This window comes from Homo sapiens, chromosome 6 (assembly GCF_000001405.40).
Source record: "Homo sapiens chromosome 6, GRCh38.p14 Primary Assembly".
Taxonomy (NCBI): domain Eukaryota; kingdom Metazoa; phylum Chordata; class Mammalia; order Primates; family Hominidae; genus Homo; species Homo sapiens.
The window spans coordinates 152,624,307-152,651,271 of NC_000006.12; the positions used below are offsets into that span (position 1 = coordinate 152,624,307).

Here is a 26,965-nt window from a genome sequence, read left to right on the forward strand (position 1 = left end):
TCATTTTAGAAACATAAAGTTTAATACAGTATGTTCACATTTAAAATGTAGTTAATAAAAGTCAGTCAACAAGTTCTTTTTAAGTAACTATAAAAAATTACAAAAAAGCCTTAAAATGTTGTCACTATCTAAAAGAAGTTTATAATCCAAAGAGTTCAGCCATTTATTTTCTTAGTTGTGACTAAGTGACTCCGTAAGCCACCTGTTAAATGGATCCCCTTTAGTTGGTCTTGAATAGCAGAAAATGTATGTACTAATTATGTGCATTTAAAGTTTTAATACCCCTTTATTATACTATTGTCCTGTATTTGCTTTTACGGTTATATTTAAATTGAGTAAAGTTCCAGAAACATTCATTATTCTTAAAAGCAAATGAAACTCTGCATTGCAGTCTGACTGCTCATTCATAATTCAGTATCCCAGCCTAAAACATTATGCTCAAACAAGCACAAATATTGGCAAAGGTGAAATATTGAATGGCTACTGTTGCAGCTAAATTATGTAGCAATCTCTGTGTGTGCTTTAATTTCCTAGCCCTAGAAATAAAAATTAAAAGCAGGAAAAATAGTCAGCAATTATGGGTGTAAGCTAAATAAGCAAGGGAGTAGTGCCAAGTTGCAATTATTCAAAGCTGCATGCTCTTTATTAGTTATGCACAGGTCTGAAATGACAATGAAACCCAAAAATGGGGAAAAAAAACCTCAAACACATTAGTTACTCATTATACATATCTAGACAAAGAAAAAGGATTCTAGGAGAATGTTCTTATGAATTTGAACTTTGAAAATTAGCAACTCTGGTTCTGTTTACGTTAATGGAAATTTACTTTTCCTCAAATTTGTCTTAATTATCTGGGCAATAATACCAGCCCTCCATTTATTAGGATCTTGGGCACTTGTTTGGAGGTTCCAGCAGGTAAGCAGGGTTACTAAATACCCTTGACAGAGGACAGATCTCCTCTTTCTGTGGAGATTGGCCCCTCTTTGGACTTAAAGCATTAGTAAATATGCACAGTGACAACTGAGAGCAAGAGACCTGCACGTCACCAACTGAATCAGCAGAATTAATCCAGCTGATCAATTTGTGAAGTCACACTCGCCAGATCACTTTCACTTCCTGCCATTTCACCCAGTTTCCTTTGATGCAGGCTAGATGTGTTGCATTTTGTAGCAGTACAGACTTTACATTTTGTAGCCAACATAACCTATAGACATGAAGTAATTGATACCAAAGGCTAGTGATAAGTATCTAGTGCTCAGGAGTTTTGTCTTCTGAATTTTCAGGCTTACTCTTCTAACTTTGTCAGGTACCCTTATGCCACCTTATAACTCTCTCTTTTATAGAAATAAAAGCTAATTAATGCAATAAGTATAGTTACTTTATTGTGTAATAAAATTACTAGTTTTATACAGCACAGAGTGTACAAAACTATTAACATTCCTCCAAAAATCCGGATAGTTAGAAAAATTTGCAGGAAAAAATTGAACAAATTATCAGGCTGTGCCTTCTCATCCAGTTTTCTTCCATGACTATTTGAATGGCTCACCATATCACAGCATTTATAATTTTTAAATCTCCTTTAGTAAATTATCTCATTGAGCTTCACAACAGTTCTGAGAGGGGCTAAGCAGATGGGAGCAATCCACATTTTGCAAATGGGGCACCTAGACACGTAGATGTTAAATAGGGCATCCACTGTCACAGGCCTATTTGTGTGATAGGGTGAGAGGCTCTAGCTCTTTCCTCCATGCCACAGATTTCTCAAGCAAAACTAAATCTACTAAAAAACATAATAAAACACAACATTAAATCATCCATACTCTTCACTTTCCTCTCACCCCTAACCCAATTATCTTAATAAAAAGGACTTCCACTCAAACTAATATCAGAATGAAGAGTAGAGTGTTTGTAGGAACACAGTCTGATTCTGATTGAGTTTATTCAAATTTGCTGTTTGCAACTTTCACTTATGGTCAAGATGTATGTCATCCAGAGAATGTTCACATCTAATATATTCAAAGGAAAATCTGCTTTACTACCTTATTATCTTCCCCACACTTTTGTAAGGGACTCACCGACTTCCTTTCCATCATTTCATAGATGATGTCATTGAGGCACAAAATGGTTCAACAATTTACCCTCAGACAAACAGCCAAGACAAACATAGACAGTGGAATGGAACTCAAATTCAGCATTGCATCTACCCAGGTGAAGATGTACAACTTAAATCTGAGATCCTTGGTGCTGGTCAGACCCAAGCAGAGAAATTTTCAGCCCATGGAAAAGGTCTAGACCCATCTATATATTCAGCAAGGATATTTTATCTAACAAGGCTCTTTCTGGCATGACATGTGGGATTGGTCAACAAGAAATAGGAAACATGTACCACTCACACTGAAGCATCACAAACCAGTCCAGGCAGATAAACACGAGTGGGGGGTCACTTGAACACAGAAGCTCTCAATCAAGTTGGTGATCTCTGGACAGACGTGGAGAAACTCCTAGTTCCACCAATATCCTGATTTTCTATAGCTGTGAGCATGTTCTGGGTCATGAATACCCCGATTTAAGAGCTTGGTATGTATTTGAAGGTCAAGAATGCTTAACTGGAAATTACTGCTATGCACAGCAAATGCATTATAAGCAAAGAAAGTGGGTCTGTGACAAATTAATATCATTGATACTGTGCAAACCCACAATGATCATTTGTTGGAGATACTAGAAAACCTAAAAGTCAAGCTATAACATTATGTTTAAGCTTTCTTAGCAAAGACTAGCACAAAACTCTTCTAAATTGGGGTATTTTTATACCTTGAAACCATGCATTTGAAGGCTGGGCTTATGACATTGAATATATCGTTAGGATTCTAACAATGAAGCAGTGAATATATCATTGGGATTATGACAAAGAAGCAATATCTTTAGATAACTACAGGTGATAATTATATTTGTTTCAAGGAATATTGAAACATAAATGTAAAGAAAATTGACAATTAGAATCTGTTCACCTATGAGTTTCTATAGTATTTCCCTGTTAGTTTTCTTCTAGAAAGCAGAGAAGAGCAGCCGGGCACGGTGGCTCATGCCTGTAATCCCAGGACTTTGGGAGGCCAAGGCAGGCAGATCACCTGAGGTCAGGAGTTTGAGGCCAGCCGGGTCAACATGGTGAAACCATATCTCTACTAAAAAAAAAAAAAAAAAATTAGCCGGGCATGGTGGCACATGCCTGTAATCCCAGCTACTTGTGAGGCTGAGGGAGGAGAATCGCTTGAACAGGGAGATGGAGGTTGGAGTGAGCCGAGATAGTGCTACTGCCCTCCAGCCTGGAAGACAGAGCAAGATTCCATCTTAAAAAAAATCAAAAGCAGAGAAGAGAACCACTGTTGTTTGTTGTTGGAGAAGAGCATCACTGAGGGATGCAGGACTAGTCTGTACCCTGCCACGAACAATTCATCTTATCACATCGTTTCATCTCTTTGGGCCTCTTTTGCCTCATTTTTCTTAAAAAAATTCTAAATATCTAAGGGTCTTCTAGTTGGGAAATGCCACTGGTTCACCTATTTGACAATAGCATATAGCTATATGTCCACAACTTGTCCATAATCTATCAAAACAACTGAGGATGTATTGTCACTGGTATTATTGAACAACAGCAGCAGTACATTTGACAATAACTCTTAATTCCCAACTGGACAATGAATAACCATGTAAGACATGCTAATGCAGACACAAAATTACAAAAAAAAAAAAAAAAGCTGTATTTTTATCTTTTCCTTCTATGTAATGAATACAGCATCTGAAGACAGCATGGCCCTGTTTGAAAACACTGGAATAAAGACATCCATCCCATTCTGGGCTATAATTCCATGAAATTGAGTAAAACCCCAAACAAATTTAACTGATTGTGGGTTAAGATGGTATTTGAATTTTTTTAAAACCTGAAATTTCTTCCCCCTACCTTGCAGCCTCTGCATCACATTGGCGATATCCCGAGGACACCGGGAGGCCCCTCTGGAGGTTGCCATGGTCCCTCCGGAAGCACGAAGCCAACACCAAGAGACTCTTCACTGGAGGCAGCACAGGGCTACACCACTCTAGAAAACATGCTTGGACTTTTCTAGATCTATTCTGTCATAAATGAATTCCAGGCCTTTGCAGCACTCAACAAGGAGGCAGCTCTCCCAAAGACTGAACTGCTTCTTTTTCTTCTTCCGTTTTAAGACTGTCCTCTTACATGAACTCAAGAACCTGAAAAACAAAAAAGAAAAGGTACAACATAAAAAAAAAATCTACGAAGGTCACCACAGTGCTAAAAGGAGAAATATTTCTATTTAATTTGAATGCCTGGTCCATTATCAAGTGAAACAACTTAGTGAAAAGCACTTATAAACTACAAAGTACTATGCAAATGTTAGGAATTCCCATGATATTTAATAAAATAAATACATAAATGAGACATATAAAATAAAATTGGGTTGCTAAAAGAAGAAATGTTCACTTTCATTCCATGTTTTCTTTTTAAACTATCAACTTTTTCCATTGATCTATGAAAGTGGTTTCCCTTATACTAAAAACACTCAATTCTAGTTTTCAATATGCACGGGTTCTCTAGTCTGCTAATTTAGCCTGCTTTGCACATGTTTTGCTCTGTTGCGTTGTACTCTTTCCAGGAATGGGACCAAATCCTTGTTTCTCATACCAATTTGATGAATTAAAGCAGTATAAATGTAAAAACCATTTAATTCTAAAAATTTGAGTTTCAAGTACTCCAATTTTAGAAGCCAAATGGGTATGATTTAGTTTTTTTCCTCCCTATGTATAAAGACTCAAGAGTTTTAAGGCTAGGGTGGGGTGGGTGAAGCAGAGTGGACATTTTCCTTCTAAATTCTCTGCATTGGTTAAGTTTTTGTTTTTGTTTTTGTTTTGGGACAGTCTCACTCTGTCATCCAGGCTGGGGTACAGTGGCGTGATCTCAGCAAGCTCCACTTCCCGGGTTCAAGCAATTCTCATGCCTCAGCCTCCTAAGTAGCTGGGATTACAGGCGTATACCACCACGCCTGGCTAATTTTTGTGTTTTTTAGTAGAGACGGGGTTTCACCATGTTAGCCAGACTCGTCTCAAACTCCTGACCTCAAGTGATCTGCCCACCTCGGCCTCCCAAACTGTTGGGATTACAGGTGTGAGCCACCGTGCCTGGCTGGTTAAGTTTCATTGCCGGGGGGGGGGGGGGGAGGGGGAGGGGAGGAGGGGGTGCAGTGGGCTTTGGGAAGAGGTAGGAGAGTAGTCGTTGAAATCTTGATATTGCAAAATGTACTTTAAATAAGAATTTCCTAACCCTAGGTTTAGCTGAAGAGAAGGTATTGCCATAAACGAAATAATTAGACAGAAAGAAGAGGGGGTGAATAATGCACCAAGAGAAAGAAACGGCCTCCGAAGAGGCCCACAGGGAGGTGATACTTGATTACAGTTCCCATTGCATTTCTAGGTTATGATGATGAAGGTTAAAAAAGGAATGGGGGAAGAGAGGAAGAAGGGGAGAATGGCAAAAGCAAAACTCCTAAAGAAAGCTCATACATGTGAGATGGTGCACCTTCCTGAAGGAAAAAAGAAAATGAGAGGAGCCTGTGAGTGCTGTAAAAATTATATTATAACTTGGATTATAGTCCATAAAAGGACTTTGCTCATGAAGGATTGGTTAAATAATAGAGTGCAATTATGAATTACAATTTATTTTAAAATGGCATTACTAATACTATTATATATTGGTATCTGGTCAGAATGTATGAATGCAAAGCTAGTAACATGCTTTTTAGCCTATTATCTAAAAAAAAAAAAAAGATGCAAACCTTTGCACATTGCTGCTGCCCCATGTGCAATGCATCAGAAGGATGTACTGGAGCAAGAAAGCATTACTAACTTAGCAAGACATGGGACAGCGATGCAGTGAATGGAAGTCATTGGTAGGAAGATAGAGGCAAACTTCTCTTGGCTACTTGAAAGGAGTATATACTAGAAGTAGGACCCAATACTTGGTGTCTTATAGGCTAGAGAGGTACTTCTCAGTGGGTGACTCTCCAAGGGATTCTTCATGGAGAAATAATTACTTGTGGTTGGGCTGTCACATACATACCTATAGCCCTGCTGGAATTGTGTGCCCATTAGCAGCCTGTATATCCTGGGGAAAAATATTCCACCTGCCCACATACAAAAGCTATCTTAATTTGGGAGAATAATAGATAGTGAAAAGTGCCTGAAGGACCTTATAAATGGATCCCCTAAGCTATTAGGAAGTTAGGTTTTCAAATGCAAAAATATAACTTTCTGAAATCAATCAATCAACCAATCTACCTATTATCTATATCATTTATCTGCATGTATGTTAAAGACATTCACTTCATTTCAGATACCCCACTCCAAGCTGGGCTCAGCACTGGAGCTCACAGATGATTAACACACAGTCCCCACCTTCAATCAAGAATTATGGAATTAAAAGGGATTTCAGTTAAATCATTGCAACAGAAATCACTCTGCCTCTATCCTCTTCTAATTCACATTCACATAGCTTGGTAGATTAATCTGAAATACTGTGCATGCCCTCTCTCTCTCTCGTTACATTAAACTCAGAATTTCCCTGCATGTGCCCAGTATTCATCCAGTCTTACTTTCACAGCATAACTAACACATTCAGAGTGCCAGAGCTCAATGCTGGGATTACTAAGGTGGATATGACACAGAGACTATTTTTGAAGAGCTTAGGACACAGTGGGAGATAAAACATAGAAAAGATAATACAAAAATACCAGGGCTAAGTGCAAATACAAAGATGTGAAGATACAGAGGATGGTGGCTAAGCCAGTGTGGGTGTTCTGGAAAGGTGTCCTTCTTGGCAAGGAGCAGACACTTGAGCTGAGTCTTGGTAAATGGGTTAGTCACTCAGGTGAAACATACGAAAGACACATCCTGGGCAGGGTGAAGAGCTTGAGCAAAGGCCTCAGCATGAGAAACAGCATGACTGGGACATGGAACTATCACCAGTCAGACACTGAGAAACTCTACAAGGTGACATTGTGGAAAAGAGGGCGGAGAGTGAGGTGGTGTCCAGATGGCGCAGGGCCCTGAGTGCTATGCTCAGAAGTTTGGTTCTGGTTCTCTAGCAGGCAACAGGAAGCCACTGAGAGATCTTAAGCTGGAAGTGAGAAGGTATGATTGGGATTATTCTAGCTATGATTTTAAAGGATGTATTTGAGAAGGACAAAACTGGAAGATCCAGAAAGATCAGTTAGGAAAGTATCTCAGGAATCCAGGTAGAAGATGACCAAAGACGGAAATCAGACAGAGGTAGCAGAGTGAGTGGAGAATCAAATATAACACAGCTTTAGGGAACAAAATTTGTAAGACTTGGTGATTGGTCACCCAGGGGTGGAGGTGGGTATAGGTAGAAGGAGGTGGGGTTTCCAGAGTGTATATCTGAGGAGTCTCAGATGACTCTCAGGATTTGGGGTGCCATTAATTGAGCTCAGCAGAAGAGGGGCCTTATAGGTTTTACATCCAAACACTCTCCCCTTCATGCTTCATATCTTTGGAACAACTCAGGAGCAATTTCTTCATTACCCCTTCACATCACCCCTCTGAAGAACACTTTCAGCTGAACAAATGGAAATACCTAGCCCAGGATCCACATACCACTTGAAGCTTTTCCTAAACACACCAACCAACACTCACCATTATTTTCCACTGAGGCCTCTAACATCAACGATCCATACTATCCTAGGTACAATTTGGCTTCTATCTTTCACTACTGCTAGTCTTACCTCACTCTAAAGAAACAGTGAACATTTCACTGGTATAGAGGCTATAACATTGCAAAATCTCATTCATTGACACCAAGTATATCCCTGACCACATCCTAGGCCCCCGATATATATTTTTTGTTTCATTGAATCAAGTTCATAATACTTTACATTTATGAGAAAATCCCCAGAAAACCTCTTCCTCTTCAATGCAAAAAAAAGTGGATGCAATATCCTTCCTTTTTCAGACATTAAACATTTTGCTTTCATCATTCACATGTACACATATTTCCTATTTTGTGAAATCATGATTTTCTTGCTTTTTACTGATACTTTATCTAATTACATGATTTAATAAGAAATTTAAATGATGTTAATAAAAAGAAGGTAATAAAAGGAGACTGGGAATTAGGAAATATCAGTTCTAGGCTAAACTTTATCCCAGCTAGTTGGGTGATTTTGAGCTGGTTCTATGCATGAAGGTCCTCAACAACTACCTATTGGAGGAGAGTGTGGTACCAGGAAATGCACAGACTTTGATCTAAGAAAGACCTGGAGCTGAATCTTAATTCTATCTCTTACTGTGCACGCAGGCTTAAGAAAAATGAGCTTTTCTGAGCCCTTCTTTCATCATCTGTAAAATGAGGTATACTTATGCCAAATTAGGTTTAATTTTATCCTGCTTAAATTAATTTTTTTAAAAGATAAATATGTCATGTTTCCAGCAGATTGATTGGCATGTAGCAGAGTTTCAGCAAATACTAGTTTCCATTTTCCTTCCCCTGTTCCCAGTTTCTCCAGCTGCAATATGAGAGACGGCCCTAAAATGCAGAGGTACTCCCAAGTGTGCTCTTCTGTTCCAAAACCAATAGCAGCACAAGGCAGAGCTAAAACAACGACTGGTGCAAGGTCATGAGATCCTCCAACAGACTGTTTACCTAGCAGTGTTCTGGCTATGGACATGACAGAACCAGAACACCAGAGGCAGATCCAGAACATCAATAAACTCACTATTCCCAAGATTATTAAAACAGTTTTTAATAGGTGCAGGATACTGCGGGAGCACGAAGGAGAGGGAATGAAGAGTGAAGCTAGGCATTGGGATGGAATTGGAGAATTTGATGGACATTCATGGGCTGTATACCAATAAATAGTCCCTGCACCATCTCCAAATTTTTCCAGGGGAAGGAACTAAGATTATGATGCAGCTAAATACATTCAGAAAGGTAAGATTCCTGTATTTATTATTTCACAATAAATATGTATTGAGTAGCTATTTGTAAGGGACCATGGTACTGAGTAAACAGCAGTCAACAAGAGAGACAAGCCCCTCTTACAGCTTATGTGCCGGTAGAGGAAGATGATATAAACAATGTTACAACAAAGGAGGGCAAGTATTGTAATGGAAAAGTCCAGGCTACTATGGAAGCAAACAAAACACCCACCCAATCAATAACCATCTGCTGCATTTTTTTTTTGTTCAGGACACAGAGAGAATTTGGACTATCTGCTATTTGGGATGCTCCCAGTTGAAAGGCATACTCTTCTTAGGAATTTGGACTACCTGCTATTTGGGATGCTCCCAGTTGAAAGGCATACTCTTCTTAGGAATTTGGACTACCTGCTATTTGGGATGCTCCCAGTTGAAAGGCATACTCTTCTTAGGAATTTGGACTACCTGCTATTTGGGATGCTCCCAGTTGAAAGGCATACTCTTCTTAGGAATTTGGACTACCTGCTATTTGGGATGCTCCCAGTTGAAAGGCATACTCTTCTTAGGAATTTGGACTACCTGCTATTTGGGATGCTCCCAGTTGAAAGGCATACTCTTCTTAGGAATTTGGACTACCTGCTATTTGGGATGCTCCCAGTTGAAAGGCATACTCTTCTTAACATCACTCCCTGTGAAAAAACACAGTTGTGAAATAGCACAACTCAATTTTTTCTGTCTCTTGGCAGAATGGACATTGGCTCTTAAAGCAGTTTCTTGTTTGTGTGACTAAAAAGGAATACACTAAGAAAAGCACTGAAGAAATACTACTGAGCCACAAGAATATATATAAGCAATGCAACTGAATTTCTAGGTATTAGGAAACTACTGCAGAAAATTTCAAACCCTGCAATGACCAGAGACAACGTGGCTCATTTCTAACCAAAAAGAAAATGAACTGAGAACATAAACACATAAACAGATTCACAACAGCAGGAAGTACAGATATTAATTAAATGTCTAAACATGTATAAGAATAGCACTAATATTGAAACCCACTATTGAATAAAATTTTTAGTCATGAATAAATTTCAGTTTCCCTTCTATTCAAGTCTTTTGCTGAAGAGAGTTCACATACTGTTTAATTTTAAATTTAATTATTTTTTTCTCTATTCACCCATTAATAATGGTACTAATTAATGAATACTAAGATGGCTAAAAGAGAAGAACAGGGATATCTTTGAATTAATGTAAGTATATTACTAATAAATGTGTGCAGGTTATCAGGGAACAATGCTGTTTCTTATTCACTAGTATGAATTATACAGAGTAACAATAAGAAATGATCTTTTCCATAGAAGAACATGAACAAGTAAGCAAAAGACAAAGTGTATAGCAGAAATCAGCATGAAAGATGTTCAGTGTCATAATTAAATTTTGTTTATTGTAAGCCTAAAGTATAAATTACAACCAAAGACATCTGCAACCTTCTTTTTTTCCCTTGCTACAGTATATTGCACACCTTGCCAAACATTAGTTCTCGTTAGATTAGACCACAAAGAAGTACACATTTAAGAGGAGACACACAGAGGACCTCGCAGAGGCGTTTGGGCCCTGCATGCCTGTCACATTCAGACCACAGGGTGTGGCTGCAGTAGCTAGAGCTGGAGTTGTGAAAATGCCACCAACCTTGCCCAGTTATGGGCTTCCTACATCCTGTGACAGTCACACCTCCTTTCATTTCCAAGATGCTGTGTGTGCAGCATAGTTATCAGAAAGTAGGCCCAGTGCAGCACCAAACAATTCTTGAACATTTTTAAATGGCAAACTAGCTTTTTCCAATCTCCTCTCCCTGGCAGGAAGGACTCAAGTAAAAAAGAGTTCTTAAATGAGGTCAATGAGGACAGAAGAAAACCAGTTTGTGAAAATCATTAGTTCAGAAAGATGAAAGTGAGACTATAAAATAAGAGCTAGGCAAATATTTCCAAAGCCTAGCAAATATTGTTATCTGGGTCAGTCTGAAGCTGTTTCTTAATCTTCAGCATGAAACATATTAAGTTAGTATAGATCTCTCACATTTTGTTCTAAATCTGCCACAAAGTAATGAACAGAAAAGAAAAAATAGATATGTATTTTGTCACACTGTTCCGGTGATATCAGGAACTTTTTAGCCATACTACAAATCTTTTTTCACCATGGGGAATAAAAAGCCTCTCAAAGAACAATCGTCATGACTCGTGATTAAATTCGCATTTTATGAAGATGTAGGTCATATTAATGACCTTTGCCTCATTGAAAATTATTATACTTTCTCTTGCATAGGTCTGGCTTCTGTATACGAATGTTGTCTTTAGGAAAGTCATTCTCAGATGAAGACAAAAAATGGATGGGCATTAAAGAAGAGAAAAATAATTCATTTTTAACTTTCTTAACATTCACAGGAACATTTCAGATACAAGTTTTCCACCCCAAAACGAAAAGCTCAGAAATGAACATTGTGGGATGCTAAGGCTTCATTGCTGATATTTCCCTCTGGGCTGGACCTGACTCTATTTACGGAAGGGGGCAGAACTTCCAGCATCCAAAGTCTGGGATCCCAGTCAGCACACCCAGCCTGCCTTCCCAAGGGGCTTCTTCCTGTGCGGCTGATGGCTGCTTCGTTTTGCACGGATGCCTGCCCGTTGGGATGCACCTGGCCGCCTGTGCACCACCATTTCCCAGAACTCCTCCGCCAGCAATGCAAGATCTCTCTATGTGAAACGTATCTTTATAAAGAGGAGACGAAAGTTCTCTTGCCCTCTAGTGCAGGCTCTGCCGGGAAGCAACTGCACCATGACAGCGCCGCTGGAGTCTGACGCGCCAGGGCCTCCGCGCAGCCTTCAAGCCATTTCCCTCCCCCAGCCCTTCCTAAAATAGTCAGGGGGTGGAGGAAGGGAGGCTCCTAGAATCTGTTCAACGCCCTACCTCTCCCATCTGATAGTAGCAACAGTACCGACCATCACAATAAGAGGCTGGCTGCCTTTTGCTTCTGCACCATTGGAGCCCAGGAGATGTGCCACAAGCGGAAATGACAACTCAGAGAGGGGGATATTAATAGGGACATCTACGTACGAGATGCAAAGAGGCTCCCCAACCTCCTAGTCTCCTTATCTATGAGTATCGCACACGTACACACATCACTGCCACCACCCCCTCCCATCAAGCACGCAGAGCCCCAGCGTGCAGGCACAAACTTGCTGACAATTTGTCTGCAATGTGTTCGTCTTGCACCTCTCTCTCCTCTCCCTGTCTCTGTCTCTCCCTGTCTCCCAGTCTCTGTCTTTCCTTTTACCTTCTCTCTCGGCCTCGTTCAGTTTCCCAGCAGCAAGGCGAAGCGAGCGAACGCTTCCTCCCGGCTCTCTGCGCCCAGGCTCGGCGGGACCCCGGGGATGCGCGGCTGTCCGCCCGCCCTGTCGCCGGGATCGGGCGCGGTCTGCAGGACTGCGGGAGCCCAGCCGCCCTGGTGACAGAGGACAACAATCTCAGCCCGCTGCGGCCGGCGGCCGCGGCCCGGCGCCCGCGCTCACCCTGGCTGGCTCGCCCACACTCACTCCCGCGCCGGGCTGCTCAGCCGCGCTCCCCGCCCTCCGCGACCGGTTCCTCCTCCCGGCTGCTCGCTGGGGGGTGAGGCCTCCCCCTTCGCCCTCCCCCACGCATCTACTGCTCCTGTCGGGAAGGAAGGTCGCCCAGGCCGGTTCAGCCTCTGGGCAGGGTCCCTGCACCGCCCTGGCCCGCCACACCCCCTCCCCGGCTCCGTGCCCCGCGCCCCGCGCCCGGCTCCGGGATGCGCCGGTGCCTGGAAGAGCTGGGGGCGGGGACCCGGAGGCTCGCAGGCTTCCCTACCTCCTGGAGATGCACGGCCTTGGGCGTTTCTCCGCAGCTGCAAAGCTGTGCTGTGACCCACCCGCTCAGCGAGCCTTTATACCGGGACCACCTCCCGGGGGTCGAGGTGGGAAGGAAATGTCCCTGAGAGCCGGGACGCGCTGCCTCCGCTGCCTGGAGGAGCTGCGCTGTCCTGCCAGCTAACTTTTGCCCACGGTTTCCACTGCCCGGGTGACCTTTCTGAGCGGAACCTATCCTGAAAGGCTGGGAGGTTCCCTGATGGTCCCAGGAAGGGCGTGATGCAGAGCAAAGAGCAAAACCCGCTGGCTCCTTTTTCATCAACTTCCGAAAGATCCTAAATCGTTTTGGCTGCCAAGTCAGTAGCAAATAACTTAATTTGAGGGAGACTGGTCAGGCTTTATAGATCTTTTTTAATGTTATGTATAAAGTTTAGACTTCTTGAGAAAGCGCTTGACATCTTTAATTCTTGACTGTTTATTATGATGATTCTAAAAACCACTTTTAGGTTCTTCAGGTGCACTGTATGCACCCTGTACATTGCGGAGCCATTTGTATCTTTGGCCACAAGTCCTTCTCGTGGTGTAAGAGATCTTGGTGTTGCCTGGTAGCATTCAGGAGAATTTATTTTGTTGTGGTTTTATGGTATCCAGGCAAAGTCAAACACAGTCTCTCTTCACCAACAGTGAAGTCCAAGTCCAACAGGATGATTGCAGCTAAAATAATCGAAGCCATGTTGCAATAATCTTAAAAGTAATAATCCCCCCCTTGAATCTCCAATCTGAACAAAACAGTCATTTATCCTCTAAATTTGCTGAAAGGAAGGAGCAGTTTATAAAGTAGATGAAGTTTCTCTTTGCTGCCTGCCTTTCCCTTACCTGCTGCCAACATTCCCACTGCCTAGCTTTCCATTTTCTTCAAATTCTCCTTCTTCTGGATCGTGTCAAAATAATAACATCTGAAACAAATCTGGTAAACCAATCTGATGTGTTCCTCTTCTTTGTGCTGACTTTTGTTTTTTTTTAGAGAGAGAAACCAAACAATGGATCTCTATTTGCAGAACTTGCTACCTCCAAAAGTTGGGCCTGGAGGAGGAGTGTTTGGGATCACTCTCAATGTATGCCCTGCCTCTGCCTGAGGGCAACAATCCTGGGGCACCCCCAGAGCCCCTTGTGGAGACAACCACCAGAGCATAATTATTCCAGGTCAGCCCTCTGTGCCCAGTGGCCACAAAATGGGGTCCAGATTTCCAGGCTTGCCACTCAGAAGAAACAGATCAGAATGGCTCAGCTCACCCTCTCAATCCCTACCTTCATAGAATCAATCCACCCTGCCGGCTTTTGAAGATGGGTAGAAAGTTATTGTGCCAACTTTGCCATTCTTTTTGTTTGTTTGTTTGTTTGAGATGGAGTTTCGCTCTTGTTCCCCAGGCTGGGGTGCAATGGTGCAATCTCGGCTCACTGCAACCTCCGCCTCCCAGGTTCAAGCAATTATCCTGCCTCAGCCTCCTGAGTAGCTGAGATTACAGGGATGCGTCACCACACCTGGCTAATTTTGTATTTTTAGTAGAGACAGGGTTCCTTCATGTTGGTCAGGCTGGTCTCAAACTTCCGACCTCAGGTGACCCATCCAGCTCGGCCTCCCAAAGTGCTGGGATTACAGGTGTGAGCCACTGCACCTGGCCACCAACTTGCTATTCTACACGTTAAGCAACTACTTTCTTGGGTTTACTTACTTGAGAAGTGAGCCACTTAAAACACAAGCCTGAAACATTGCTTCCACCAACTAAAACTCCTCTACTAGGCCTAATCTCTGTTCTCACAGGCTGAGACAGACAGAAGCATAGAGCTGTCTTGCTGGCATTGATTCCCTATACAGCTGAAATCCCATTCTCAGCTAAACTTTATCCTCTGTAGAAGGACTAAGCACATTTTAGAGTTTTGCAAAGGGCTTGTCAGTTTCACACACCCCAGGGAAGGGTGTTGTAGCTCCATTTACTCAACAGCTATTGCTTGAACACTTACCACATAACAAATATTGTCCTAAGTGCTGGGGCTACCGTGGTAAGCAAACTCTGACCGGGCTCTTGCCTTCATGGAGCTTACAGTATGATGGGGGAAGAGCCAGACATTCATCAGAGAACCACACAAATACTTATAAAACCCCATTCTCCAAGCAAAGGCAAATGTTGCTATGAGAGCTTTCAAGAACGGGAGTTGGCCAGGCATGGTGGCTCACACCTGTAATCCCAGCATTTTGGGAGGCCAAGGCAGACAGATCACTTGAGGACAGGAGTTCGAGACCAGCCTGGCCAACATGGTGAAACCCCATCTCTACTAAAAATACAAAAATTGGCCAGGCACGGTGGCTCATGCATGTAATCCCAGCACTTTGGAAGGCCGAGGCAGGCAGATCACAAGGTCAAGAGATCAAGACCAGCTTCACCAACATGGTGAAACCCCATCTCTACTAAAAATATAAAAAATTAGTTGGGCATGGTGGCGCATGCCTGTAGGCCCAGCTACTCAGGAGGCTGAGGCAGGAGAAACACTTGAAGCTGGGAGGCGGAGGTTGCAGTGAGCCAAGATTGCACCACTGCACTCCAGCCTGGCGACAGAGTGAGACTCTGTCAAAAAAAAAAAAAAATAGCCAGCGTGGTTGTAGGCGCCTATAATCTGAGCTACTCGGGAGGCTGAGGCAGGATAATTGCTTGAACCTGGAAAGCGAAGGTTGCAGTGAGCTGAGATCGTGCCACTGCACTCCAGCCTGGGTGACAGAGCAAGACTCAGAAAAAAAAAAAAGGAGGGGAATTAATTTATTTCAGGGATTAGAAAGGCTTTGCTAAGGGAGTGACATCTGAACAGTGAGGTGCAGGAACTAGGTGAACGTGAGCAGGTGGGAAATTGGGAGAGCGCTCCAGACAGAAGGAACAGCATATGCAGAGGCTCTATGGAAGAAAAGCACATGGTGCATTGCAGGAACTGAGGAAGACTGATGAGGTTGCAGAAGAAAAAGCAAGGGAGGGGCCAGGAGGTTTAGGGAATGGTGGGCCCAGTACAGCTGGAAACAGAGCCAAGGGCAGACTATGCCAGTCTTAAAAACTGAACCAAAGGGATGGCCCTTTACAAGAAGCCATTAAAGTGTTCTCAGTGCAACATGATTAGATTTATGTTTTAAAATGTTCTCTTTGGCTAAAATGTGAAAAAACAGATTAGAAGTGGAGCCAGAATCAATAAACATGGACCAGTTAGGAAGGTGGTGCTGTAATCCTTTAGAAAAGACTGTGGTATTTATTATTAGAGTGATGGTGGTGGGAAAATGTAGACAGATTTGAGAGATATTTAATAGATAAAACTTACAGGGCATAAGGCCATGTTGTGCTATAGACTGAATAGGTATGTTCCCCCACCCCCAAACTCATATGTTGAAACCTATCCCCAGTGTCATGGTATTAGGAGGTGTGGCCTTTGGGGGTGATTAGGTCATAAGGGTAGAACCCTCATGCATAGAATTAGTGTGCTAATAAAAGGAACTTGGAGAAGTCCTTGCCCCTTCCACCATGTGAGAACACATCAAGAAGACAGCCATCTATCAACCAGGAAGTGGGTTCTCACCAGACACTGAATTTGAAGGTGCCTTGATCCTGGACTTCCAGCCTCCAGAACTGTGAGTAGTAAGTGTCTGTTGTTTGTGAGCCACCTGTACTATAGTATTATGTTACAGCAGCCCGAACAGACTAAGACATGTGTCAACAGGAAGTTAGAAAAGTATAATGGTTAAAGTATTGGGTTTTAAAGCAAGAAAGGCCTGGGTTTGAGTCCCAGCTTTACCATTAAGTGCCTATGTGATTTTTAGCTAGGAATTTAACCTCTTGTGAATTCAGGTTTACAACCCTGCAATTCAGGATTCTAATAGTATCTCATTCATAGAGCTGTTGTGGGGACTACATGAGCTAATGCCTGAATAGCACTCAGCACTTCAGTGCCTGGCATGTGGTCAATAAATGAAAGATATTATTAGCATCATTATTATGCTTCTAGTTATTATTACTATTAGTCTAGATGTTTCTGAAGTTGGCAAACCATCACTCTCCATTTCACATTGCAATAGCCTAATAGAGCTAGGACACCAGTTCCTGAGAGCAACAAAATACAATCCCAGGGCCATCACAGGCTGAGAGACAGCTGCCAGGACAGCAACCTGACTTCCTCCTCCACCAGGCCCAGGGCCTGTCCTCCTCATCCGTCTTTTCATTCTGTCTCACTTTACAAAGAATCTTCTTCTTATATATCACTGTAGTTGGGCCCCCAAGGTCCCCTGTCTGCATTAGCAAGAGGTACCAAAGATAGCAACAGTTGCAGATTGCCTTCAGCCCAGCTTCATCCCAATGCCTGCATCATGGTGTTCTATACATTTGTAAAATATGAGACATTGTGCCCATATGAAATCAGAGAAAAATCATTTCTTTCCTTTTTTTTTTTTTTTTTTTGGAAACGGAGTTTTGCTCTTGTTGCCCAAACTGGAGTGCAATGGCGCAATCTTGGCTCACCGCAACCTCTGCCTCCTGGGTTCAAGTGATTCTCCTGCCTCAGCCTCCTGAGTAGCTGGGATTACAGGCATGCGCCACCACACCTGGCTAACTTTTTGTATCTTTTAGTAGAAACAGGGTTTCACCATGTTAGCCAGGCTGGTCTCGAACTCCTGACCTCAGGTGATCTGCCCGCCTTGGCCTCCCAAAGTGCTGGGATTACAGGAGTGAGCCATTGCGCCCAACCCGAATAATCATTTCTACTTCTGTCATTCCTACTTTAAGTATCTGTGTTGATACCATGACAAAACTTGCCGTAATTAAAATATGTTGTGGATTTATCAAAAGCAGCGGCCCCAGGATCTACCAGAAGTGCATCTTTATTCAAATGAACACGTGTGCAACTCAACAAATGGCTCTCTTCTTCCACCTCCCTCCCTTAGTCTTAAATCTCTTCAAAACCAACTTGTACACACAGTGCAGTGAAACTTCAATCAAAGTAGCTCTCTTACTTTTTAAAGGTTAAGGGGCATTTTATCAGTCAGGGTCTTGATGTAGTCAGTAGAGGTCCGGCTTGGTCTTCTAGAAATCTAGGAGCCACTTGTTACGTAATGGCCTGTAGTGGAATCAATAGTCTGTTGACAAGGGAGAAAGGACAAACGAGGACAGAGGGACTTATTTTCCTGACAAGTAAGTGCCTCAGGAGGATTTGCATTCAAAGTCCTCGGATTCACCCAAATCCTACAAATGCCCCTGTTCCAGTTCTCATAGCCCACTCTTTACAATAAGAACTTTAGCTTTCATGTAAGAGACTTGGCAAGTCTTTGAATTTATTTTATGCTGTAATTTTGCAACATGCAGAAGCGGACCTTAGGTCTGATTTTTGGCTATATCAGCAATGTAGCTACAAGGGTCCTAGAAGTCCTCTAGTCCTTGACCAGGCCTTGATCCAAAAGTGTAAAGTTTCCCAGCTTGCCATTTTCTTTCTATGGTCTCTGGTGCAGTCAGAAGTAGATGACACACCCCATGGTCTTTCTCGTTCTCTTTCCTACTTTCAGACTCTAGAGCAGCGGTCAACTTAGTCTCCACAATTCTTGATTTCAATAGGTCCTTCACTTCCGACAACCACAGGTGTTAATTCAAGGAAGTGTTTGCCACCATGTGCCATGTCTCTTCATAATTCTATTTTGCACTAGAATTAGGCAATTAGGTCATCACTGTAAGCAAATGCAACCAGGTCAAACAACAAGATTCTCATCTTTGAAGCTCTGGAACCAATCTTGGCATGAAATATTGTGTCAGTCCAGATTCATTAAAGAAAAATCAAAGCAACTTAAGGAGTGTTGGAAAGGCTAGAGAAGTGATCATCATCAGGCTGCCTTCAGCTTTCAGGTAAGCACCATTGCAAGTGCAATCCAGAGCTCGGCAAGTTGCTGCTGCCACCCAGAGGTCAAGATACTGCAGCAAACCGCCAACAGCATCACAGCTGCCCTTGCTCAGAGGCTAGGCCTGGTGAGGGAGCTGGGTGTTCAGCCAGCCTCTGTAAAACTACTGCCGTTGCCGCTGGAGGGAGAATTTCTCAGTGTCTACATTGCCTTCCAAATCTCATGTGAGAGCACTGGCAGAATGCAAATTTCACCCAAACCCCTCAGGAAAGGGAGCCTGAGAAATGTAATGCCCAAACTTCTAGCTCCAGAGATACAGGAGAGAGCACAGAAAGAGGAGTGAATGCAGGTTGTTTGCCGAGAAACAGTATCCAGTACAAACACAGACTTGGGTGAACTGGTGAATGCAAATGTTTACTGAAATTAACATTTACAGAAATTCTAGGCTGGCCGCGGTGGCTCATGTCTGTCATCCCAGCACTTTGGGAGGCTGAGGTGGGTGGATTACTTGAGTTTAGGAGTTCGAGACCAGGTGGGCCAACGTGGTGAAACCCTGTCTCTACTGAAACTGCAAAAACAAAAATAGCTGAGTATGGTAGCACACGGCTGTAATCTCAGCTACTCAGGAGGCCAAGGCAGGAGAATCGCTTAAATTTATGAAACAGAGGTTGCAGTGAGTCAAGATTGTGCTCTGTACTACAGCCTGGGCCACAGAGCAAGACTGTCTCAAAAAAAAAAAAAGAAAAAAAAGAAAAATGTACAGAAATTCTACTTTAATAAGTTAAATCTTTTAAATCTCTTATAACTCTAACATTAATATTGTTTTAGAATTTTAAAAGTTAAGATTTTAATACTTTTTAAAAAATGAAACATTTTAGCATTGCTGAATAAATTTTAAAATATTAATTCCCCAGTGAAATGTTCTTGTCCCTTTCTCCCCATGCTTCCTTCGGGAGTTGATCTTCTTAGACCATTGGTCTCTCCTCTACTTAGCCACCCACTCCCGTGATCATAGTCTTGACCTTGTCATGATGAACAGTAACAATTATTTGTGATGATAATCTCAACTGGAAACACTCCACTCTCTGATCACTGACTCTTTTGTTCCCAGTACTCTCCCTGTTGCATTCCAATTCCAATAACCCCTCAACTGAATAGGACCTCACATCCATTGGGAGGGTCACCGATGGCCCTTGGGATGCCTTTGTTTGAATTCTTCAAGATTTTTTTTTTTTTCTGTGAGACAGAGTCTCACTCTGTTACCCAGGCTGGACTGCAGTGGTGCAATCTCAGCTCACTGCAGCCTCGACCTCCTGTGCTCAAGCAATCCTCCCACCTCAGCCTCTGAGTAGCTGGGACTTCAGGCGCTTGCCACCATGCCTGGCTGATTTTGTTTTTATTTTTTGTAGAGACAAGGTTTCATTATGTTGCCCAGGCTGGTCTTGAACTTCTGGGCTCAATCAGTCTTCCCACCTTGGCCTCCCAAAATGTTAGGATTACGGGCACGAACCACCATGCCTAGCAGATATTTCAACTCCATCTTTTGGAAACTATTGTAAAAGATCACTTTTGATAAAACAAGATGGTTGAGTGCCATCTTTCAGAAAATTACAATGCGTACCCAAATCTTAAATTCCATTTATGGATGATGCCCACCTGAAAGATGTTACCTTACGTGTATGTAGTGCATAACCCACATTAACCATATGTGGCTGCTCAGTGACAGTTGATTCTGCAATTTTTTTCATTGTCTATCTCCCCCTTTATGTTCATCCCTTTTAAAATGGTTTAAATTCCACATGTAACCATCCTACTCACCTCTTGAATTTATCCTCAAGCACTGTCCCTCTTGCCTTGTCATACTCACTTGGCTAACACACATCCCTTGTTAAATTCAGCTCTGCCTACTTCGTGCCTGCACCCACACTGCTGAATATGGCTGGGGGAACACTACCTTATGCTAACTGGTCTTTGCCTTTATGGCAAATCACTAAATCAAATGCCCCTGAATGCTCTATTTCTCTAACCAATATACTCTCCCACTTCCCTAAACAAATATCATACTTTTTCCTATCTTCCCAGATTTCCCCAAATGTTCCCCCATATCTAAATTTTCAGCTATTAACTTTGTTTCCTATTTACTATTTTAAGCAATCAAAGAGAATTTCCACAAGCTGCCACTAGCATATGCATGCATGTTGTCAGTGCCTGCATATAATGTTCCAATTTGTCTTCTGTTGCTAGGAATGAACTCTTTAAGCTCCTAGTTAAGGCCACCTCCTCCACTTATATATTCGATCTATCCCTTCCTGTCAACAATGTTTTTCTCTATTCCTAGCATCATGACTTTCTTTTCTCTTTGCTAGTTCATTCCCATCAGCATATAAACATGCTATTCCTCCCATATTAACAACAACAAACTTTCTTGTTCACCACCTAAACTCCAAATACTACCTCATTTCTCTCCTAAATTTTAAGAAAAATTTCTTGAAAGAGTGGTCTACACTCTGTTGGCAATTTCTCTCTTCCCACTTGCTCCCGAACTCACCACAGGCCAGCTTTCACCCCCAGCATGCCACCTTAGCTAGGTTACCAGCGACTTCTTTGCTAAACCTAATATTCCTATCTCTGTCCCTATCTTGATCTATTAGAAGCATTTAGTTATTTCCTCTTTCCTTCTCAAGATAGTTTTCTCACTTGGCTTCTGAACCTGCCTCTTCCCTCACTTTCTCTCTTCTGGCTGCTTCTTGGTCTCCTTTGCTGCATCCCTCTTATCTCCTCAACCTCTAGACTTTGGGGGACCAAGAGCTCCATCTTTGGTGCTTTTCTATTTCCCAGCTGCACTAATTCCTAGGGGATTTTATTCAATTTCATGGTGTTAAATATCATGTGTATGCTACGAACTCCCAAATTTAGGTATCTAACCCAGATATCTCTTCTGAACTCCAGACTTCTATATCCAATTGCCTTCCCAGGCAGTTTAAGAGGCATCCCAAATAAAGCTGGTCCAAAACTAAATCTGTGACCTTTTCTTCCAAACTTGCCCCTTTGTTTGACTTCCTCACATCATTTAATGGTAACTTCCATCCTTTTCAGTTGCTCAAGCCTAAAGTCTTGGCATCATACTTGACAATTCTTTTTTTCTCATTGCTCACCTTCAGTCCATTGGCAAACATGTTGATTCTATTTTTAAAACATATTCAGAGAACATCCTTGTTCTTAGAAAATAGACTCTAAAATATTTAGCAATTGTAGGGCATGATGTCTCTAACATCCTTTCAAGTAGTTCAGAAAACATAATATAATGAAACATAGAGAAGGATGGTTAAAGAAAGTAAATGGAGCAAAATGTCAGCAAACTGATGAATCTGGTTGGAAGGCATACAGGGAGTTTTGTGTAATACTCTTGAAACTTTTCTGTAGGTTACAAAAAGTCTAATGAATCTAAAAATCTATTACTTATCAACTCCACCATTACTACCCTAGACATCATCTCTAGCCTTCAAGCTACCCTTTTTTTCTTTTTTTTCTTTTTTTTTTCCTTTTAGACAGAGTCTCGCTCTGTCGCCCAGGTTGGAGTGCAGTGGTGCGATTTCAGCTCACTGCAACCTCCACTTCCTGGGTTCAAGCCATTCTCTACCTCAGCCTCCCAAGTAGCTGGGATTACAGGCACCTGCCACCATGCCTGGCTAATTTTTTGTATTTTTAGTAGAGACAGGGTTTCACCATCTTTGCCAGGTTGGTCTTGAACTCCTGACCTTGTGATCCACCCTCCTCGGCCTCCCAAACTGCTAGGATTACAGGCGTGAGCTTCCGTGCCTGGCTGCCTTCAGGCTACTCTTAACGTAACAGTCACATAAATCTTATTATATCATAAACCAGATGATGTCACTCCTTTGCTCAAAGCCCTCTAATAGCATTCCATATTACTTACAGTGAAGTCCTCTTATGATCTATAAAGCCCTATATGATTTGCCCCATCTCCTCATTAACTACCTAGCCCCATCTGCAACCCTCCCCTTCACTTACTGACCCGCAGCTTGCATGCATTCCTTGATGTTCCTGAAGGTTACTAGGCAAGCTCCCACTGCAGGACCTTTTTCCATGATATTCTCTCTGCGGGCAAATTCAATTCTGAAAGTTGCTCATATTCACATGTCTGGCCTTCTAACTTTTTTCAGGTCTTTCATCAAAGCATTACCCTCTCAGTGAACTCTTTCCTGAATGTCCTGTATAAAATTTTTAAACACCCTCCACTCTTCTTTGAACATTCTACCTTTATGCCATACTTTATTTTTTTCTGCAGCACTTAGCACTAACATTGTATATATATTTTCTTACTTATCTAATTTATTTTGTGTCTGTCCCTAAAATGTAAGCTCCATGAGGGCAGCTATTTCAGTATATTTGTTAACTCTTATGTTCTTAGCATTTAAAACAAGCACATAAAAGATACTCAATTTATGTTTGTTGAATAAATAAATGAATGAACATACCAATCTCACTATGCCTTATGGAATTCTACATACCATCAATTATAAAGTTACGTTATTGTCAAACCCATTAGAAACTGATTGCTCAAATCTCTGGGACATCCTGATCTTCAATGGGTCATCAATTAGGATATTCCCATGTTTCATGGTATAAAGTAATAGAAAAATATATTTTTTTCCCTTCAGCTCTTAATATTATCCTTTCTTCTTGGTTCATAATTTTTTAACTACTCTAAAGCACTTCTGTCATTGTACTTTTGGCTCTGTTTGGATATACAGTTCTATGTCTGAAATGGTTTCTGATAAGTAGACAGCTCTGAAATCCCCTGATACATCCACTTCTGAGATGTTGTAGAGCTTTTCATATTCCCCTTGAGTTTGTGTAATTATTTAGGAATATTGGCAACTTTTCTTTGCCTTTATCATATATTAATTAATATCATCTACCTTTTGTCTGCCCTTATTTTTATTTTTTTTCTCAAAGGTTCTTAACATTTTCTGGATCATTTAAAAAGCTTTTTTATAGGCCACTATCAGTCTATCTGACTTGTGCATAATGGCTTTGCTAAATACTATTTAGAACTGAGCTTTTGTTTACAAGATAACTGTGCCAGTAATGACATTAGGTTGTAGCTGAGTTTGCAGTGGGAGAGGATCATGTGGATTACATAATTTCTTAACTGGATTCCTACCAAGAGTGTTCCAGAGTGACTGAATGAACTCACTAGCACACACAGTTTTATCCACCACTTGGAAATACTTCAAGGAGCCTCCGAAAAGGAAAGACGATCTTTACTTGTGAGTTTCTCCTTCCTGGTTTATTTCATTACCCATATCTATTTCCAGCTGGAAAATTTGTGAGAAATCACCAGATGAACATGTATCAGTTCAGATGCATTGTGATGCCAGGAAAAGAAAAGCCAGTGGACACAGGCAAAAATAAAAATAAAGGAGATTTATTAGCTTGCAAAAATCCAAAAGGACAAGTTTCAGGATTCATTCCAGTTTACATCAACGATCTGGTTTCTTTCTATTCTTCTTTTCTGCTGTCCACATGTTGAGTTCATTCTAAGGCTGATCCTTATGTTTGTTGGATGTGTACCGGCAATAATTAGACTGGTACATACTTTTGTTTCACCCACTGAGAGAGAAAGTATTTGTGTCTAAAATTCCATGCGAATGTCTTGAATATTGCTCTAATTAGGCTAGCTTAGGTTGTGTGCCTAGTGGCCTCCTCCCAACCACTTTGGTGAAGAAAAATAAAATGTTCTGATTGCCTTTCACCCAGTCAGACCCATCATTGGCATAACATCTTCCTGAAGCAAATGGCCTACATAGCAAAGTGTAGATACCTGTATTTGGCCCCAAAAGGAAAGGGAAGTCAGAAGTCACAAACACTAGATGAGGGTAATTTGAGGTGAAGTCCATTTTATTTTGGTTTGTTTTATTCAAAGGGCCAAATTACAAAGTGTGAAGGGGGAATAGTGGAACCATAAGACATAGCCAGGGAACTTGGAGTGAGCAAGAGCAGAGCTGCTATTGATCCCAGGCCCAGAGGAAATCAGGGAGGGAGAGCTTACTGGAATGCAAAGGAAGAGTCCTGTAGAGAATAATATATTGATAGGAGCAATGACCCTGGGAGAACACAGGTAACCTCAGAGGAGCTTAGGGAGGGAACTAGGGAAATTAGCACTCTGATATTCTTGTTTTCTCCTGTTTCTACTGGGATTCCCCATTGTTTAAAACAAACCAGAAGCCTGAGGATGCAGGAGCAGTGTGATGCTGCCCACGCTGGTCATTCTTTCAGGACAGAGCAGAATGGAAAAGGACAGGAACAAATGGGAAGTATTCTGTGCAGTATCTGAATTAAAATGTGGGTACTGCAAAGAAGATAGGAGAGGACAATAAATGCTGGAGAGACAGCCAATCAATGCTGCCTACAGACCAGAAGTGTTTGACTCACTAATCTTACCTAGAGGCCTTCAGATAATTATGACACCACTTAGTATTCCAAAAAATAATACAAAACAAAAAGCCTTTTAAGTATAATGTCTATCTATCTATCTATCTATCTATCTATCTATCTATCTATCTATCTAAATATTCTCCTACCTCAGTGGTGAGAAGCATAGACAAACTATTTATCTTAATTAACCATATTGATTGTCATCAGCTATATCAGCAGTTACAGAAAGGATATTAACTAATGATGGGTCATATTGCTTAACTTCTAGGACAGCTTCATGGCTGAAAATGTTCTGTATGTGAAAGATGATCATGTGGATGATAGAGAATTTATATTCTCTCTTTCTTGAAGATCAAATAAGAGAAAAATGAGTTTACTAAGCAGGAAATATTTTGATAAAATAGAGGTAGACATTCTTGATAATAGGATACATTAAACCCTAAAAGGTTTTTTTTTTCTCCTGATTATCTTTGAGCACCATTTTGCAATTTCTCTGCCTATGTTCTAAAATCCATCTGGCAACCAACGGGGCCTAAAATGGATATAATTAATTTCGGCTCCCCAAGCACAGAATTGCTATGTGTCCCGGGGGGCTCCCACTGTGACAACTGCTGTGGTTGTAGGGGCAGTGGACTTCATTCCATCTCCATCCAGAGCTAGCCTTGGGCAATTCAGATGGCCAAGCCATTACACTGCAGAGCAGGGTCCTCAGCTGCCTCCTTCATTCACTTCATGTGTCATGATAGGGACAAAAGCATAAAATGATAGGCTAGACCAGCAAATGCAGGTCTCAAAATCCAGGCAGATATGCCGAGTTAGGGTATACAACATTCGTTCAGTCACTCAATATTTATTGAGTACCTACTACATATGGGCCAGGCAATGTTTTTTGGTGCTTTCTAGAGCAGTGCACGGGAGAAAAAAGAAAGAAAGAAAGAAAGAAAACTTTGCATTCATAAAGTTTATCTTCTAGTGGAAAATGTAGACAGCAAACAATGTCTATACAAATATATACCATATTGGATAATAATGGCTGCTAGGGAGAAAAAATATAGCAGAGAAGAGACAAAAGATGTGTCAAGTCAATGGCTGAAATTTTAGTGTAATTTCTGAAAATAGTCCTGAAAAAAGTAAATGAGGATGTCGTAAGGAGGATAGCTGGGGAAAACATTCTGGGGAGAGCAAAGAGCAAGGGTGAAGGCCCTGAGGTTGAAAATTCCTTGCTCTATTTAAGGAATGGGAAGGAAGCTAGAGTAGCCAGAATGGAGTGGGTGAGGGGGAGATGAAGTCATAGAAATGATGGTGGTGGTGAAGCATAAACTGTATAAGCCTGGTAGGTCATTATAGGGAATTTGCCATTATTCCAAGAGAGGTGGGAATCCCCTGGATAGCCCTGAACCCAAGAATGACATGAAGTGACTTGTGTTTGCAGGAGATAACTGACTACTGTGTTGAGAATAGATGGACAGATTCAAGTCAGAAGGAGAGAGACCAATTAAGAGTCCATTGCTGCAACACAGTGAGAGAGGATGGTGGCTTGGAAGAGGGTGGTGGTGATGAAGGTGGTGAGAAGTGATCAAATTCTAATATGTTTGGGAACTTGTAAGATTTATTCACAGTCTGGATGTGAATAAAGATAGAAAAATCATCAGGATGTTAAGATCAGTGGAATGTTTCCGAAGATTTCTCACGAAAAAATTGGAGTTCTAACAGG

General features: G+C 41.7%; 1 protein-coding gene across 44 annotated transcripts in view, besides 1 other annotated feature; it reads right to left on the reverse strand.

Moving 5' to 3' along the window:
- SYNE1 (spectrin repeat containing nuclear envelope protein 1) overlaps window positions 1-13,056 on the reverse strand; it is a 515,676-nt gene extending 502,620 nt beyond the window's left edge. For 36 of the 44 annotated variants that reach the window (XM_047418510.1, XM_006715414.2, XM_047418507.1 and 33 more), the window contains exons 1-2: window positions 12,332-12,584; window positions 3,959-4,248 (exon numbers count right to left, since the gene is read on the reverse strand). In XM_047418510.1, coding sequence (XP_047274466.1) covers window positions 3,959-4,025 — 67 coding nt within the window. In that variant the 5' untranslated portion in view covers window positions 4,026-4,248; window positions 12,332-12,584. Of the gene's footprint in view, window positions 1-3,958; window positions 4,249-12,331; window positions 12,585-12,882 lie in introns of those variants that run through there. The other 8 variants (XM_047418504.1, NM_182961.4, XM_047418501.1 and 5 more) reach the window with 2 other exon arrangements.
- Window positions 10,554-10,683: an enhancer, noted in NCBI's record as "active region_25289". NCBI's record gives its function as "activates an Ori minimal core promoter by ATAC-STARR-seq in GM12878 lymphoblastoid cells {active_cell/tissue: GM12878}" and the evidence as "EXISTENCE:reporter gene assay evidence [ECO:0000049][PMID:35858748]".